This window comes from Homo sapiens, chromosome 2 (assembly GCF_000001405.40).
Source record: "Homo sapiens chromosome 2, GRCh38.p14 Primary Assembly".
In the NCBI taxonomy this organism is placed as follows: Eukaryota; Metazoa; Chordata; class Mammalia; order Primates; family Hominidae; genus Homo; species Homo sapiens.
The window spans coordinates 112581795-112596028 of NC_000002.12; the positions used below are offsets into that span (position 1 = coordinate 112581795).

The 14234-nt window shown below is 48.1% G+C and overlaps 1 protein-coding gene and 1 long non-coding RNA gene across 10 annotated transcripts, besides 5 other annotated features; one reads left to right on the forward strand and one right to left on the reverse strand.

Annotated features, from left to right (window-relative positions):
* Positions 498–792: a silencer, noted in NCBI's record as "tiled region #15338; K562 Repressive DNase unmatched - State 5:Enh". NCBI's record gives its function as "represses a minimal TATA promoter and a strong SV40 promoter by Sharpr-MPRA in K562 cells {active_cell/tissue: K562}" and the evidence as "EXISTENCE:reporter gene assay evidence [ECO:0000049][PMID:27701403]".
* Positions 1193–3478, reverse strand: LOC101927330 (uncharacterized). 3 transcript variants are annotated; one of them, XR_923204.3, is made up of 2 exons: positions 3343–3478; positions 1193–2719 (listed from the first exon to the last, which is right to left on the reverse strand). It is a non-coding gene; the product is annotated as an uncharacterized LOC101927330 (long non-coding RNA). The 3 variants fall into 3 exon arrangements; XR_007087192.1 differs by lacking the exon at positions 3343–3478 and adding an exon at positions 2977–3021; XR_923203.3 differs by lacking the exon at positions 3343–3478 and adding an exon at positions 2877–3021.
* Positions 2024–3223: an enhancer, noted in NCBI's record as "MED14-independent group 3 enhancer chr2:113341395-113342594 (GRCh37/hg19 assembly coordinates)". NCBI's record gives its function as "activates an origin of replication core promoter dependent on BRD2, BRD4, P300/CBP and CDK7 cofactors, and independent of MED14, by STARR-seq in HCT116 cells {active_cell/tissue: HCT116}" and the evidence as "EXISTENCE:reporter gene assay evidence [ECO:0000049][PMID:35650434]".
* Positions 2024–3241: a biological region, named in NCBI's record as "MED14-independent group 3 enhancer GRCh37_chr2:113341395-113342594".
* Positions 2490–3241: an enhancer, noted in NCBI's record as "OCT4-NANOG-H3K27ac hESC enhancer chr2:113341861-113342612 (GRCh37/hg19 assembly coordinates)". NCBI's record gives its function as "activates a minimal SCP1, AML or CMV promoter by ChIP-STARR-seq in primed H9 embryonic stem cells {active_cell/tissue: H9 hESC(primed)}" and the evidence as "EXISTENCE:reporter gene assay evidence [ECO:0000049][PMID:30033119]".
* Positions 2539–2708: an enhancer, noted in NCBI's record as "active region_16394". NCBI's record gives its function as "activates an Ori minimal core promoter by ATAC-STARR-seq in GM12878 lymphoblastoid cells {active_cell/tissue: GM12878}" and the evidence as "EXISTENCE:reporter gene assay evidence [ECO:0000049][PMID:35858748]".
* CHCHD5 (coiled-coil-helix-coiled-coil-helix domain containing 5) lies at positions 2653–7246 on the forward strand. Of its 7 annotated transcripts, none has more exons than NR_163920.1 (4): positions 2653–2692; positions 4180–4330; positions 4406–4571; positions 7072–7246. NR_163920.1 is itself a non-coding variant. In NM_001304353.2 (4 exons), exons 2-4 carry the CDS (start codon positions 4292–4294, stop codon positions 7093–7095), a joined length of 219 nt encoding a protein of 72 aa, NP_001291282.1. In that variant the 5' UTR covers positions 2653–2692; positions 4180–4291; the 3' UTR covers positions 7096–7246. The 7 variants fall into 7 exon arrangements, 6 of the variants coding, with proteins under 6 accessions (NP_001291282.1, NP_001358252.1, NP_115685.1 ...); NM_001304353.2 differs by having other exon boundaries at positions 4180–4320; NM_001371323.1 differs by lacking the exon at positions 2653–2692 and adding an exon at positions 2815–2859 and having other exon boundaries at positions 4184–4320.
* Positions 7247–14234: the final 6988 nt, after the last annotated feature.

The following is a 14234-nucleotide window of genomic DNA, read 5'->3' on the forward strand; positions in this document are numbered from 1 at the left end:
CGAGATGCTGTCTCAAAAAATAAATAAAAATAAATAAATAAATAAAAGAGGCTGCAGTACATGACACACTGGCAGCACCAACTCCTGCCTGGTGGATGACATCTATCTTTAGACATCCCCACTCCAGGGTTGCTGGGGGTCCATCACCATTGTTGACACTTCTTACAGGTTATGATGTTATCATCAGTCCCAGTGCTATCAGTCAACTCTACAATCCTAGGTAGTCGTTGAATCTACAGTTGACCCTTAAACAATGCAGTAGAAAATCCACATATAACTTTTGACTCCCCCAAAACTTAACTATTAATAGCCTACTGTCGATCTGAAGTCTTACTGATGACATAGATGAACACATATTTTGTATGTTATATGCATTATATACTGTATTCTTGCAATAGTAAAGTAGAGAGAAGAAACTGTTATTAAGGAAATCGTAAGGAAGATAAAATATACTATTCATTAAGTGGAAGTGGATCATCATAAAGGCCTTCATCCTTGTCCTTTTCACATTGAGTAGGCTGAGGAGAGGAAGGGGGGTTGGTCTTGCTGTCTCAGAGTGACAGCGGCAGAAGAAAATCTGAGTATAAGTGGACCAGTACAGTTTAAATCCATGTTGTTCAAGGGTGAACTGTAAACTGTTTGATTTAATGGGCAACCCACGCACCCAAGTGGTTATAAGTGGTACTACAAAATGTATTATAAAAATACCGTAGAATTTTTTTTTTTTTTTTGAGACAGAGTCATGCTCTGTCACCCAGGCTGGAGTGCAGTGGTGTGGTCTCGGCTCACTACAACCTCCGCAGCAATTCTCGTGCCTCAACCTCCTGAGTAGCTCCAGGACTACAGGTGCCTGCCACCATCCCTGGCTAATTTTTTGTATTTTTTGTAGAGACACGGTTTCACCATGTTAGCCAGGCTGGTCTCGAACTCCTGACCTCAAGCGATTCGCCCACCTCGACCTCCCAAAGTGCTGGGATTACAGGCGTGAGCCACTGCACCCAGCTGAACACAATCTGTACCTTCCATGTACTGATTTATGTCTTTGTCTGTAACTCCTGTCCACCTAAAATGTACAAAACCAAACTGTAATTCTACTGTCTCAGGCACACTTTCTCAGGACCTCTTGAGCCTGTGTTCCCCAGGCCATGGTCACTCATATTGGCTCAAAATAAATCTCTTTAAAACATTTCAGTTTGGTTTTTCTGTTAACAGGTGGTTAATTTTTCCTAGTTCTTTAATGAGATCCCTAGAAACCGGGTTTAAGACAATTGATTTTTTTTTTTTGCTTTCTCGGTCAGATAATTTCAGAAACTCCCTCCCTGTGCACCTGTGGGCATTCCCACTTCCACACACCAACAAGACAAGGTTAGACAGATCTTCTAAGGCAGCTTCTAAGGCCTTTCAGCATGTCAAAATGCATCTTTGGGGTATCCGTTTCTGAGTACCAACAAGGGAACGGAATGGGTTAAGATTTCATTCTCTCAGTAGAGGAAAATCTAGGGATTCATTCTACATTTGAAGCCAAAAACAGTTATCTGACTCCTTCCAGAGCCTTTAAATGTTGATCCCTTCCCCTCTTCTCCCATCAAACATACACTTGGAAGTTTAAGAAGAATGGAGGGATCTCAAGGTGTAAAGTTTTCTTTCTGTGCGATGACCAGTGCTGGTCCTCGGATGTCAACTGCCAACCAGGGTAGCTCATGGTTACAACCTCCCGTACAGCTCTCACTTATCCAGAACTACTGAGGCTCCAAGCTCAGTATCAAACTGTTCACTTGCACTATGTCCTCTATGATGTCACTGTCATCATCATTTTACAGACACACTGCGACTCCAAGTGGTCGTTACTAGTTCACAATCAAGTAGCTCTCGTTCATCTTCTCGTTCATCTTCAACTCTATGATTAACTGCAAAATGTTCTGCTCATTTTGACTAGAGTCTTGAAAGATCTGCAAACGAAACGGCAGGACTGATGCTCAGTTCTCTGACCAGGGGATATCCAGTCTCTTATGTGGGGAAACTCACGCCCAGGTCTAACCTCACACTTTTAAGACAGATGAGAAGGAAGGGGGAAATGTTGCTACATTAGGAGGAATTAATTACAAAGAGAGGAAGTAACTAGCTTGATAGTCTCATGGAGTCAGGATTAAACGCCATGTCTGTCCTGGCGTACGCTAAGGGATGGGGAAACGTCTGGGTCCCAGGCTGGGTAAATGGCAGGCCCAAGCCGAATTAGTTCGGCTCTTGGTTTGACTCCCTCTTCCCTCCTGTTCCAAGCGCTCGCATGAACCTGGGTGCCAGGGGGATTATCAGCGTCTGCGCAAGGCCGATGGTGGCAGCGCGGCGTTAGGAATCAGGCCCCCTATCCCTGAGCCCAACAGCCTACCGCTACAGCACCCAACGAAAATGGGAACAACATGTTGAGACGCTGCAGCAACAGCAGGCGCTTCCCACCAGCTACAGTCGGAGATTTGGAGCGCTTGTGTCTGAGGCTCAATCCCGTCAGGTGCCGCGCAACTCAGCGGCGCATTCTCTTTGGACCCGAGGCACCACCATACTTTCCATTGCTTACTTCCGTTAAACCCCGAGCGCTGCCATGGCAAGCCGGAAATAGGGATGAAGCAATTTAGCCAGAAGAGGGCGGAAGTGGCTACTCAGGGCGCCGCCATGACGAGCCGGGCCGGAAGAAGAGGTAGGGCGCCGCCGTGACAGATTAGTCCTAAAGGGAACGGGGTTGTTAGTTCAATTGGCTACCGGAAAAAACCAGGCTGGGCTGGGCGCCGCCATGACAACCGATACCGGAAAAGGCGGGTCGTTCCCCCCGGACAGCCCTACGCCGGCAAAGGTCTCGAGATGTGAGTAGTGAGAGCGCCTACCCCATACGTGCTGCCGCTCCCCTTCTTTTACCCAGTGATCTAGACCTAGTCTAGGACCTCGGGAACTAGGACCAGCCTCCCTCCTTCTTGGAGATCTGACCCTCAGGATTCAGCGCCTTCGCTCACGAGCTCCAACCCTCCGCATGCCCAAGCCCCGCCCTCTAAGCGTTTAGGCCTCGCCCCCTCTCGCGCTGCTTAGGACTTCGGTCCAGTCACTCTTCACCCAATCTCTGCCCCCAGTACCCCAGGTCCGGCCTTCACACTGAAATCCTAAGACTACAGACTTATTTAGGGACCTCTATGACTCCTACACCCATCCTCAGAGCTCCAGGTTCCTCCCCCTTGATCACCAAACTTTACCTTTTGAACCTTCCAGATCTGCCTGGGACCCCAGTCCTCACCTATAGGGTCCACAGACTTGTTCCTAGACCACTCTGACCTTGCCCAGGATTCCCAGAGCACCAACCTCATCCAGGGCTTCCAGACTTCACGCCCCTGGGACCTTGAGTCCCGCACCAGGGCCTTAGGTTTCATCTTGAAGACTCTTTGGCTAAGACACTCTTCCCCAGGACCTGAGACCCCACCTCTTGGAGCTCTAAACCTCACTTTTAGAACCCCCAAACCCATTAAGGGCTCTCAAGCTCTCCCTGGAATTCTAGATCTTTCTTCTAAGGCCCCAAGTCTTCTGTGCATGATCCCCAGGCCTACTGGGGGATGCCTGGATTTCAAGGCCTGTCTTCTAGGACCCTGAAGGCCTACCTTACATTAATCAGACTTTGTTTTAGAACCTCCACTCTCTCCCCAGAAGCTCCCCTCCTGCTTTACAAGCCCCAGGGCTGGGCCTCACCTCTCCACTTCTTTGGCACCATCTCAGGATCCTTCAGATTCCCACATCTGCCCTGAACTCCTAGTCCTACTTCAGACCCAGACCAGAACTCCCTTTCTTTGCGGAGCACCATAGCTTATGCCTGTAATCCTAGCACTTTGGGAGGTCTAAGCAGGGGGATCGCTTGAGCCCAGGGGTTCAATACCAGCCTCGGCAACATAGCAAGACCCTGTCTCTACAAAACATAAAAAATTAGCTGGGCATGGTGGCTCATGCCTGTGGTCCCAGCTACTTAGGAGGTTGGGGCAGGAAGATCACTTGAATCCAGGAGTTGGTGGCTACAGTGAGCTATGATCGTGCCACTGCACTCCAGCCTGGGCCACAGTGAGACCCTGTCTCTAAAAAATAAAAAAAAAAAAAAGAATTCCCTTGCTTGCCTACTGCCTGGAATGATCCTCAGCCCATCCTGTCCCACAGGCAGGCGGCCCTAGAGGTCACCGCTCGCTACTGTGGCCGGGAGCTGGAGCAGTATGGCCAGTGTGTGGCGGCCAAGCCGGAATCCTGGCAGCGGGACTGTCACTACCTTAAGATGAGCATTGCCCAGTGCACATCCTCCCAGTGAGTGCGGGCAAGTATGAGACAGTGTGGGGGGTGGGCAGTGGGGTGGGAATCTCCCAGGGGCTGAACTGCCCTACCCCCACAGCCCAATCATCCGCCAGATCCGCCAGGCCTGTGCTCAGCCTTTTGAGGCCTTCGAGGAGTGTCTTCGACAGAACGAGGCAGCTGTGGGCAACTGTGCAGAGCATATGCGCCGCTTCCTGCAGTGCGCTGAGCAGGTGCAGCCGCCACGCTCACCTGCAACTGTGGAGGTAAGAGGGGCTCACCTCAGTTCATCTCTTTTCTCCATAACATCCCCTTCATCCTTCTGGTTGTTCAGGGTAAAGACTTTGGAGTCATCCTCAGCCCCACCCCATCACCACACAGGCCTTTGCCATGCATCCAGAATCCAGAACATCATCACTTCTTGCCCCATATAGCCCCTGCTTTAATCCACCACCACCCTCACCCTCCACCTCCAGGATACCTGCCCCAGCCTTCTCCCTGGTCTCCCTTCCTCCCTCTTTTCTTGCCTCCATAAAGCGGCCTGGGTGAGCATGTAAGGACTGAAATCTGGTCTCATCACACCTATGCTTAAAGCTCTCCAGTGGCTTTGTGTCACATTGAGAACAAAAGTCCAGGTCCTTGCTGGGTTCTCTGTGTTCTTCCCTAGGCTGACTTCATCTGCCTCCTGCCTCACCCTCTCTCTTCTTTCTCACTACTCCTCATCTGCAACTGCAGAGGGGCTGGGCTGGGGTGGCCAAAAAAAGGTCACTCTTTTAAATGTATCTAATATGTAAACCAGATATACAGTATATCTGTGATATGTAAGTTTCATGGTTGGGCAATTAGAACAAAAGTCTAAAATGACTCCTTGAGGAGAGGCAGTAACGGAAAAAGGTTGAAAAATGCTCTTTTAGATGTTTACTACCCTCCTCACTGGACTGTGAGCTCCAAAGGTGAAAGTCACATCTTTCCCCAGCCCCTGTGAGTACCCTCTCCTGGGGCCCTCTCTCTGCCCCTGCAGCCCTGGCTTCTCTCTTGGGCCACCTGGCCATCCTTCTCCTGGGCCCCATGCTCCATCTTGACTTTCCAGTCATTCTTGGTGATCATCCTAGACTGATCTCAGAGGAAATCTGACCATGTTCTGCTTCTACTTACAAACCTTTCCATGGTTCTCAATTCCACCAGCCCAAGTCTTAATGCCAGCACAGCCCACAGGGCCCTGTGGGATGCAGTCCCTGCGACCCGTGGTCCCACCTCTCCTCTCTTTCCCCCTTAAGCTCTATGTTCCAGCCCCAGTGAACATGCAGTTACTCAAGTGCACGTCTCCGCTGCTTTTGTCCAGCTGTTTCCCTCTGCTGGGACTGCCCTTCCTAATCCATCTCCTGGCTAATTCCTATTCCAGCTTAGACGGCACGTCTCTCAGAAAACCTCCCTGATGTCCCACCCACTTCCCGCCCCTGTCTTCAAGTTCCCAAGGTCCCTGAGCCCCTCCATCAAGGCTCACATCCTATGCCTGTGTCAAGGGAGCTCTTGGCTGAAGATTGGGGTGATGCCCTTCTTACCAGGCCCTATAGGCATTAATTGTTTCTGTAAGGCAAGGATAAGTGAATAGTTCAGACCCCTAGGGCAGAAACTACGACCCCTGAGAGCCGGAAGGAACTTAATTCTCCTCAGGAAACGTTACCTAACGATCACATACTGTTCTCAGTCAGCTGCTGGGGACATTTCTGTCTTTCAAGTTTTTTGGGCATCTGAACAGTAAAGACCCCATCCTCCTATCTTAGAGCCATTTGCTGCTTCCCTCCCTGGACCAGCAACCAGCCTCTCTCTGGTCTCCTTGTGGCCACCCCTGCCCTGACAGTCTTCTCTTCCCTGGCAGCCAAAGAAGCTTTTAAAAATGGGAATTAGGGCCGGGTGCGGTGGCACATGCCTGTAATCCCAGCACTTGGGGAGGCCGAGGTGGGTGGATCACCTGAGGTCAGGAGTTTGAGACCAGCCTGGCCAACATGGTGAAACCCCATCTCTACTAAAAATACAAATATTAGCCAGGTGTGGTGGCAGGTACCTGTAATCCCAGCTACTTGGGAGGCTGAGGCAGGAGAATTGCTTGAACCCAGGAGGCAGAGGTTGCAGTGAGCCAAGATTGCACCATTGCACTCTAGCCTGGGCGATAGAGCGAGACTCTGTCTTCCAAAAAAAAAAAAAAAAGGGAATTAGGTCACATCTCCTCATCATCCCCTCCTTCCTGGGGATGGCATCCCAGTTACAGTTTTTCCTTCCTAGCTAGGGGCAGTGAGATTTGTTGTCTGGTCTACACAATAGCGAACACAAACATTCTCATCTCCTGCAGCATGGCATACAGACTTTACAGAATGTCCTGTGTTTTTGTGGCTGACAATCAAAGTGGTACATGTCCCTCCCATTCCGCACACACCTCTGCTCTTTACCCTGATTAAATTTTCTTCATCGAATTTCTTGGATGTTGACATATTTATTGTCCGTCTCTCCCTGCTTGAGTCAGAGAGTTTTGCCTGCTGGGTACACGGCAGGTGCTCAGTAAATATAGCAGAATGGCGCGTTCCCTGCCTCCCATGACACTTCACCACAGCTGACTTTTTCACATGGCTCAGGGCCAAGGTCATTGCCCAACACCCTTCTCCCTCCAGACTGTGGGCTCTGCAGGGTCTCCCTCTGTGGTGTCTACATAGGCTCCCCAGGCTGGGCACAGAGGAGGTGCTACTAGATGTTGATGTACTTTCTCCACAGGCACAGCCACTTCCTGCCTCCTGAGGACTCCTCTGACGGCAGGAAAACTGGACATGAATGACTGCCCCCACGCCCCTCCCCTGCAGAGTGGCCAGATGGAGTCCTGAGCCCTGGACATGGGCCCGGCTTTCCTGGATATCAGGACTTCCAATAAATAAAGACTCTGTATACTGGGCTTTGATTCCTGCCATCCGTACCTGAGAGGGTCCTAGGAGAGCTGGCTGGGCAGAGTCATCTGTTCCCCAGCTTCACCGGGTGTGCCAAGGAAGTGCCTGGGAAGAACAGGACTCTGCAGCTGTGCCCCAGGGTTGAGACTACCCTGCCTCCCTTGTGAACTCTGCCACACAGCCATTTCCTGACTTCTGCTGCATGTGCCTGGGGTAAAGACCCTCAATCCCTTCCACTCTAGCATTCCCCAAATTGTTATTTTTTTTTAATATATATATTTTTTATTTTATTTTTATTTTTATTTTTTTTTGAGACAGAGTCTCGCTGTCGCCCAGGTTGGAGTGCAGTGGCACGATCTCGGCTCACTGTAGGCTCCGCCCCCCGGGGTTCGTGCCATTCTCCTGCCTCAGCCTCCCTAGTAGCTGGGACTACAGGCGCCCGCCACCTCGCCTGGCTAATTTTTTTTTTTTTTTTTTTTAGTAGAGACAGGGTTTCACCGTGTTAGCCAGGATGGTCTCGATCTCCTGACCTCGTGATCTGCCCACCTCGGCCTCCCAAATTGCTGGGATTACAGGCGTGAGCCACCACGCGCAGCCTATATATATATTTTAAAGACAACGTCTTGCTCTGTTGCCCAGGCTGGAGTACAGTGGTGCGATAATAGCTTACTGCAGCCTCGAACTCCTGGGCTCCAGTGATCCTCTGCCTCAGCCTCCACAGTAGCTAGCACTACCGTAAGCACTTGACACAGTGCCTGGCTGCATTCTCCAAATCTGTTTTCAGTTTTCTGGAGGCTTGGGGGGTGATAAATAATATGCGTCTTTCCCTGCTGAATTCAGAATCAACTGGGCAACAGAGGCATTAGGCAATGGAGATGAAAATACTGGCTTTATTATTGAAAACAACCACATGGAAGGATGTATGGCTTAGAAGGCCATGTACTGGATTTCTTTTCTTTCTTTCTTCTTTTTTTTTTTTTTTTTTCAAGACGGAGTTTCACTCTTGTTGCCCAGGCTGGAGTGCAATGGCGTGATCTCGGCTCACTGCAACCTCTGCCTCCTGAGTTCAAGCAATTCTCCTGCCTCAGCCTCCTGAGTAGCTGGGATTACAGATATCCGCCACCATGCCTGGCTAATTTTTGTATTTCTAGTAGAGATGGGGTTTCACCATGTTGGTCAGGCTGGTCTCAAACTCCTGACCTCAGGTGATCTGCCCGCCTCAGCCTCCCGAAGTGCTGGGATTACAGGCACCGGCCGCCATGCCCGGCTAATTTTTGTATTTCTAGTAGAGACGGGGTTTCACCATGTTGGTCAGGCTGGTCTGTAACTCCTGACCTCAGGTGATCTGCCCACCTCAGCCTCCCAAAGTGCTGGGATTATAGGTGTGAGCCACCGCTTCTGGTCTATGCACTGGATTTCTGTTCTTAGTTTCCAGTTTTCCAGAAGCCAACTCAGAATTTGAGTGCAGATGGTAATTTGAATTTGATTCCAGAAACACTGATAGAGGAATGGAGAAGGGAGACAATAGAGAGGAAGGCAGCCAATAAAAGGTGCATTATCAAGCGAGTTACCACTCTGGGCAACTGGGACTCAGTCCCACTGGGGACCTGTGGGGGACTTTATAGAACATAACCCAGTTACCCTATCAAGGAGCAAGGGAATTGTGTTATCTACCAACTTCCCATCTGTCATTAAGGGGTATTTTCATGGGCATTGACTGGTACTTCTGGCCTGCCCTTTATAGGCCAAGTTCACTTCTGCCATCAGAAGAGGGCCGTAAGCAGAGTATAATGGGATCAAGTGAGCAGCCTTAAACCTGCGGAAGAGATGCTGAGTGGATCTGGGCAGGTACCAACAGTGGCTGCTGTGGCTTCTTCATGCTTCTCAGGAATACAGGCTCCTGCTGTTTGATACAGGCTCCCCAGTAGGGACTGGTCCTAAAGAATAGAAAGCAGACAGGCGTGTATGCAATAGAGGAGGAGACCCCAGAGTGCTGAGCTGAGCATGCCCATGGCCTGCACCCACATTCACCATTCAGACGAGGCCCTCCTCCCTGGAGGTGATCCCAAACCTCTGGAAATTGGAGTAACTGGCCATTTGATACCCAAGGATTATGCTCGGCTTGGAAGAATGAGCCTGGCCTATGGGAGTCTCTCCTAGGGATTAATCTCCAAGACAAAGGAAGTTGTTCATTGGTTTAGGAGCCGGGTAGAAATCCTGTAAGTTCAGGGTTGCAAGATTTTATACCATTTGTCTGAGCTAGGAGGAAACCCAGGTAGTGGAGAGAGAATTGTGATCAGTTCCTGTAACCTGCCACAATCCCTGGTGGACTGAAGAAAGGGTGGCGAATGCAGGAATAAAAGACAAGAGACAAAAGAGTATATTTGGAAGAAGGGGTCAGGGGGCACCTTGCCTCTAGTGGACAAGGGCCCTGAGCTTTACACAGCTTTCTGTATTTATTAGGCAAAAGAGATAGCGAGAAGGCAGGTAGAAGAAGAGGTCAGCTTGTCCAGAGTAGGCTTGCAAGACTGCATTCCCTAGATGTCGCAGTAGATAACCTCAAGGAGCTCGGCGCCAGGAAGCGACTGCCCTCATCAAACCTTCTGGGGCAGGCACAGAAGTGAGTTTGTCCACATTCTGTATTAATGGTAAACAGTTTGCTGTTTGATCATATAGCCCCAGTGGAATGCTGAGTTGGTCACATCCCACAGGCCTTTGGCTCCCTGCAAGTTCCTGTCCCTGAAAGGGTCTGGATCCTGGTGGCTTTTTGTTTCCATCTCTAGTTTCCATGGGCTGTGGTGGATGTTTTCAGCCCACTCCACTTGCTTGAGTAAGCTTGAGTGGGGTTCTATGCCATGCAACTAAAAGAAGTGTGATTAAAACAGACAAAATGGAGATCCAGACTACACTTTAGAACATCTCTATGTGTCCTGTCTTACAATAGGCTAGACTAGCTTCTTTATATGATGGTCTCAGGGGTCCAAGAGAGTGAAAATGGAAACTTCAGACATCACTTTTACCACATTCTATTGGTCAAAGCAGTCATGAGCCCAGCTGAGATTAAAGAGATGGGGAGACTTTACTTCTTGATAGCATTTGGCTGCAAAAAAATTGTGCCTATATTTAAATTACTGCAACAACTTCATAGTGTTTCTTCTTGTGTCAGTTTTGATATTTGAAGGTGGGGGTCTTTGGGAGGTAATTAAGATTAGACAAGGTCATCAGGGTGGGGCCACCATGATGGGACTGGTGGTTTTATAAGAAAAGGAAAAAAGACCTGAACTGGTCTGCTCTTGCCCTTTCACCATGTGACGCTCTCTGCCATGTTATGATGTGGCACGAAGGCCCTCACCAGATGCAGGCACCGTGCTCTTGGACTTCCCACTCTCCAGAACTATAAGGAATAATTTTCTTTTTCTTAAATTACCCTGTCTATTGTATTCTGTTATAGCAACAGAAAATAGACTAAAACAAACATCTACATTTTCAAATTGCCATCAACTTGTTAATAATATCCTCATAGTATATTTTTAAGGTTTGTAGAATCTGTAGTGATAACCCCCTTTTCATTTCTGACATTGGTTATTGGTATGCTCTTCCTTTTTTTTTAATCGATTTTGAGAGAGGGTTATCAATTTTGTTAATCTTCACAGAAATTACTTTTGGCTTTGTTGACACTTTATTTTGTACATTTGTTTTTAACTAGTTCTCTTCTCACTCTGTTGCCCAGGCTAGAGTGCTGTAGCGTGATCTTGGCTCACTGCAACCTCCGTCTTCCAGGTTCAAGCGATTCTCCTGCCTCAGCCTCCTGAGTAGCTGGGATTACAGGTGCCCACCACCACACTCAGCTAATTTTTGTATTTTTAGTAGAGACAGGGTTTCACCATGTTGGCCAGGCTGGTCTCGAACTCCTGACCTCGTGTTCCACCCACCTTGGCCTCCCAAAGTGCTGGAATTACAGGCGTGAGCCACCACGTCCAGCTAGTTCTCTTATTTTCTTCTTTCTTTAGATTTAATTGTCTGTTTCTACCTTTTTGAAATGAATGTTTAGCTCACTGGTTTTCAGCCTTTTTTCTTTTTTTGTTTTTGTTTTTTTGTTTTTTTTGAGACAGAGTTGTGCTCTGTTGCCCAGGCTAGAGTGCAGTGGCGTGATCTTGGCTCACTGTAACCTCTGCCTCCCGGGTTCATGCCGTTCTCCTGCCTCAGCCTCCCGAGTAGCTGGGATTACAGGCGCCCGCCACCACGCCCGGCTAATTTTTTGTATTTTTAGTAGAGACGGGGTTTCACCATGTTAGCCAGGATGGTCTCGATCTCCTGACCTCATGATCCACCCGCCTCAGCCTCTCAAAATGCTGGGATTACAGGCGTGAGCCACCGTGTCCGGCTTTCTTTTCTAATACACTTAAATTTGCCACAAAGCGTGACTTTGTTTTTTTTTTTTTCAAGATATATAATTTGACTTGTCCCATAACTGTGAAGAAATAACAAATCATTCTTCAAAATAGAAGATAAAATAACTATAATAACAACAAAAACCCATGAATGCATTGTTGTAACTTAGCCAATAGTCACGTTTCCTTCTTGCCATCTCTGCCTATAGTAGTCCTGCTCCTTGGATGTCTTTGTCTTTCAATCCTCCTTTTGTTCCTTATTTTCCCTTCTCTACTCTCTTTTGATTTCTCCATTGACCTCAGATTGTTTAGAAGTTTAGAGTCGTATTTCTTAATTTCTAAACATAAGGAGGTTTTTTTTTTTTAGGTATCTTGCTTAATTGCAATTGGGTTGGGAACATTTTATATGATTTTAATCTTTTGAAATGTGTCGAGCCTTTATGGCTTGGCATATGCTCAGCTTTTGTTAATGTGCCATATGTGCTTGAATCATAATCCTTGGTTCATGATGCACCGTCTTAGCTCAGGTTCCCCCAGAAACAGACCCTGGGACAGAGAATTAGAGGTTGATCCCAGTAAGCATTACTAGGGCAGTGGGAAGTGAGACAGGGACAGTCGTCTTGAGTACAATTTTCTATACTGTTTTAACAACTGTCAGAATAATTTTTTAATGGCCCTCCACATTTCTACTCTTCTTTCATCTTTACATGGACTCTGCAGGTTTCCTCCTAGCTCTCTGGCTATGCCACCACCTTCTCCCACCCAGCCGTGACATAATGATTTTCTTCAAGGCTTACACCAGGCCTCTTCTTATTCTCTCCTCTGTGCAGTGATCTCCTTCCTAGAGAATATCAGATAAGTCATTGGTTCACAGATGGTTATCTCCAGCCCTGGCTTCTGCCTTGGGCTTCCACCTGCTGCCATGGACCTTCATATAGATGTCTCAAAGGGAGCACTAAGTCCCAATGTGTCCGGAATTGCAGCAGGCATTATTTTCCCCAGCTTGTCATTCTCACCACCATTTCTTTGCACTCTGCCCCTGCAGAAGGTTTGGTATTGTTATTGTTGTTGCTGTTCTTTTTCTTAGAAGGCCTCACTCCATCTTAAGCCTGGATTTACAATTCCCCTTTTCATTTTTTTTTAATTTTTGTTTTATAGTTTGGGTATACAGTTCCCCTTTTGTTCATTTTATTTATTTGTTTGTTTATTTATTTATGAGATGGGGTCTCACTCTGTTGACCAGGCTGGAGTGCAGTGATGTGATCTCGGCTCACTGCCACCTCCACCTCCTGGGCTCAGATGATCCTCCCACCTCAGCCTCCTGAGTAGATGAGACTACAGGCACGCATGCCCAGCTAATTTTTGTCTTTTTAGTAGAGATGGGGTTTCACCATATTGTCCAGGCTGTTCTCTAACTCCTGAGCTCAAGAAATCTGCCTGCCTTGGCCTCCCAAAGTGCTGGGATTACAGGAGTGAACCACCATGCCCAGCCCCTTTTGTTTATTTTAAAGCTGAAATGAGGACTCAGTTAATTTTGTTGTAGTCTTGTCTGGTGAGGGGCGATTCTTCACCCTTGCTGCCGTCCCTCACACTCTTCCTATTTTCTAAATATGCAGTCAGTCATTTAGATCACATCACCTGTATGAATAAAAGCCTTTCATGTCGGCTGCATTCTTCAGGCTTCTAACTTCTTGCAATTCATCAGTTACGTCTAGTTACATCTGTGGATTCCTGCACCATTGCAGATGCAAAGCAGGAGAAAAGAAGGGTTTTCTTTTCATCTTTTTTTTTTTTTTTTTCTGAGACAGAATCACTCTATGGCCCAGGCTGGAGTGCAATGGCATGGTCTTGGCTCACTGCGAGGACCGTCTCCCGGGTTCAAGCATTACTCCTGCCTCAACCTCCTGAGTAGCTGGGATTATAGACATGCACCGCCACACCCAGCTAATTTTTTTGTATTTTTAGTAGAGATGGGGTTTCAATATGTTGGCCAGGCTGGTCTAGAACTCCTAACCTCAAGTGATCTGCCCTCGTCTGCCTCCCAAAGTGCTGGGATTCCAGGCGTGAGCCACCACACCCTGCCTTCATTTTTGTTTTGAAGGAATTACCTCCTACCCCTTAAGTCCTGCAGTCCCTGAACTTGACCTTATCTGCAGCAAAGATGAGAAAGGGGGAAGGTATGATAAAAGGAGAAAACACTTGCCAATGTTTTCTAAATTAACCCCTGACATTAAAATTTAACATTTTCTGCACTTCCTGATCACAGTCCTGTCTTTTACTCAGTTGTGGGCGTGCACTTTTTTTTTTTTTTGAGGTGGAGTCTCATTCTGTTGCCCAGGCTGGAGTGCAGTGGCGCAATCTCAGCTCACTGCAACCTCCACCTCCCGAGTTCAAGCGATTCTCCTGCCTCAGCCTCCTGAGTAGCTAGGACCACAGGCACGCGCCACCACGCCCAGCTAATTTTTGTATTTTTAGTACAGATGGGGTTTCACCATGTTGGCCAGGATGGTCTCAATCTCCTGACCTCGTGATCCACCTGCCTCAGCCTCCCAAAATGTTGGGATTACAGGCGTGAGCCACCGCGCCCAGCCTGGGCATGCATATT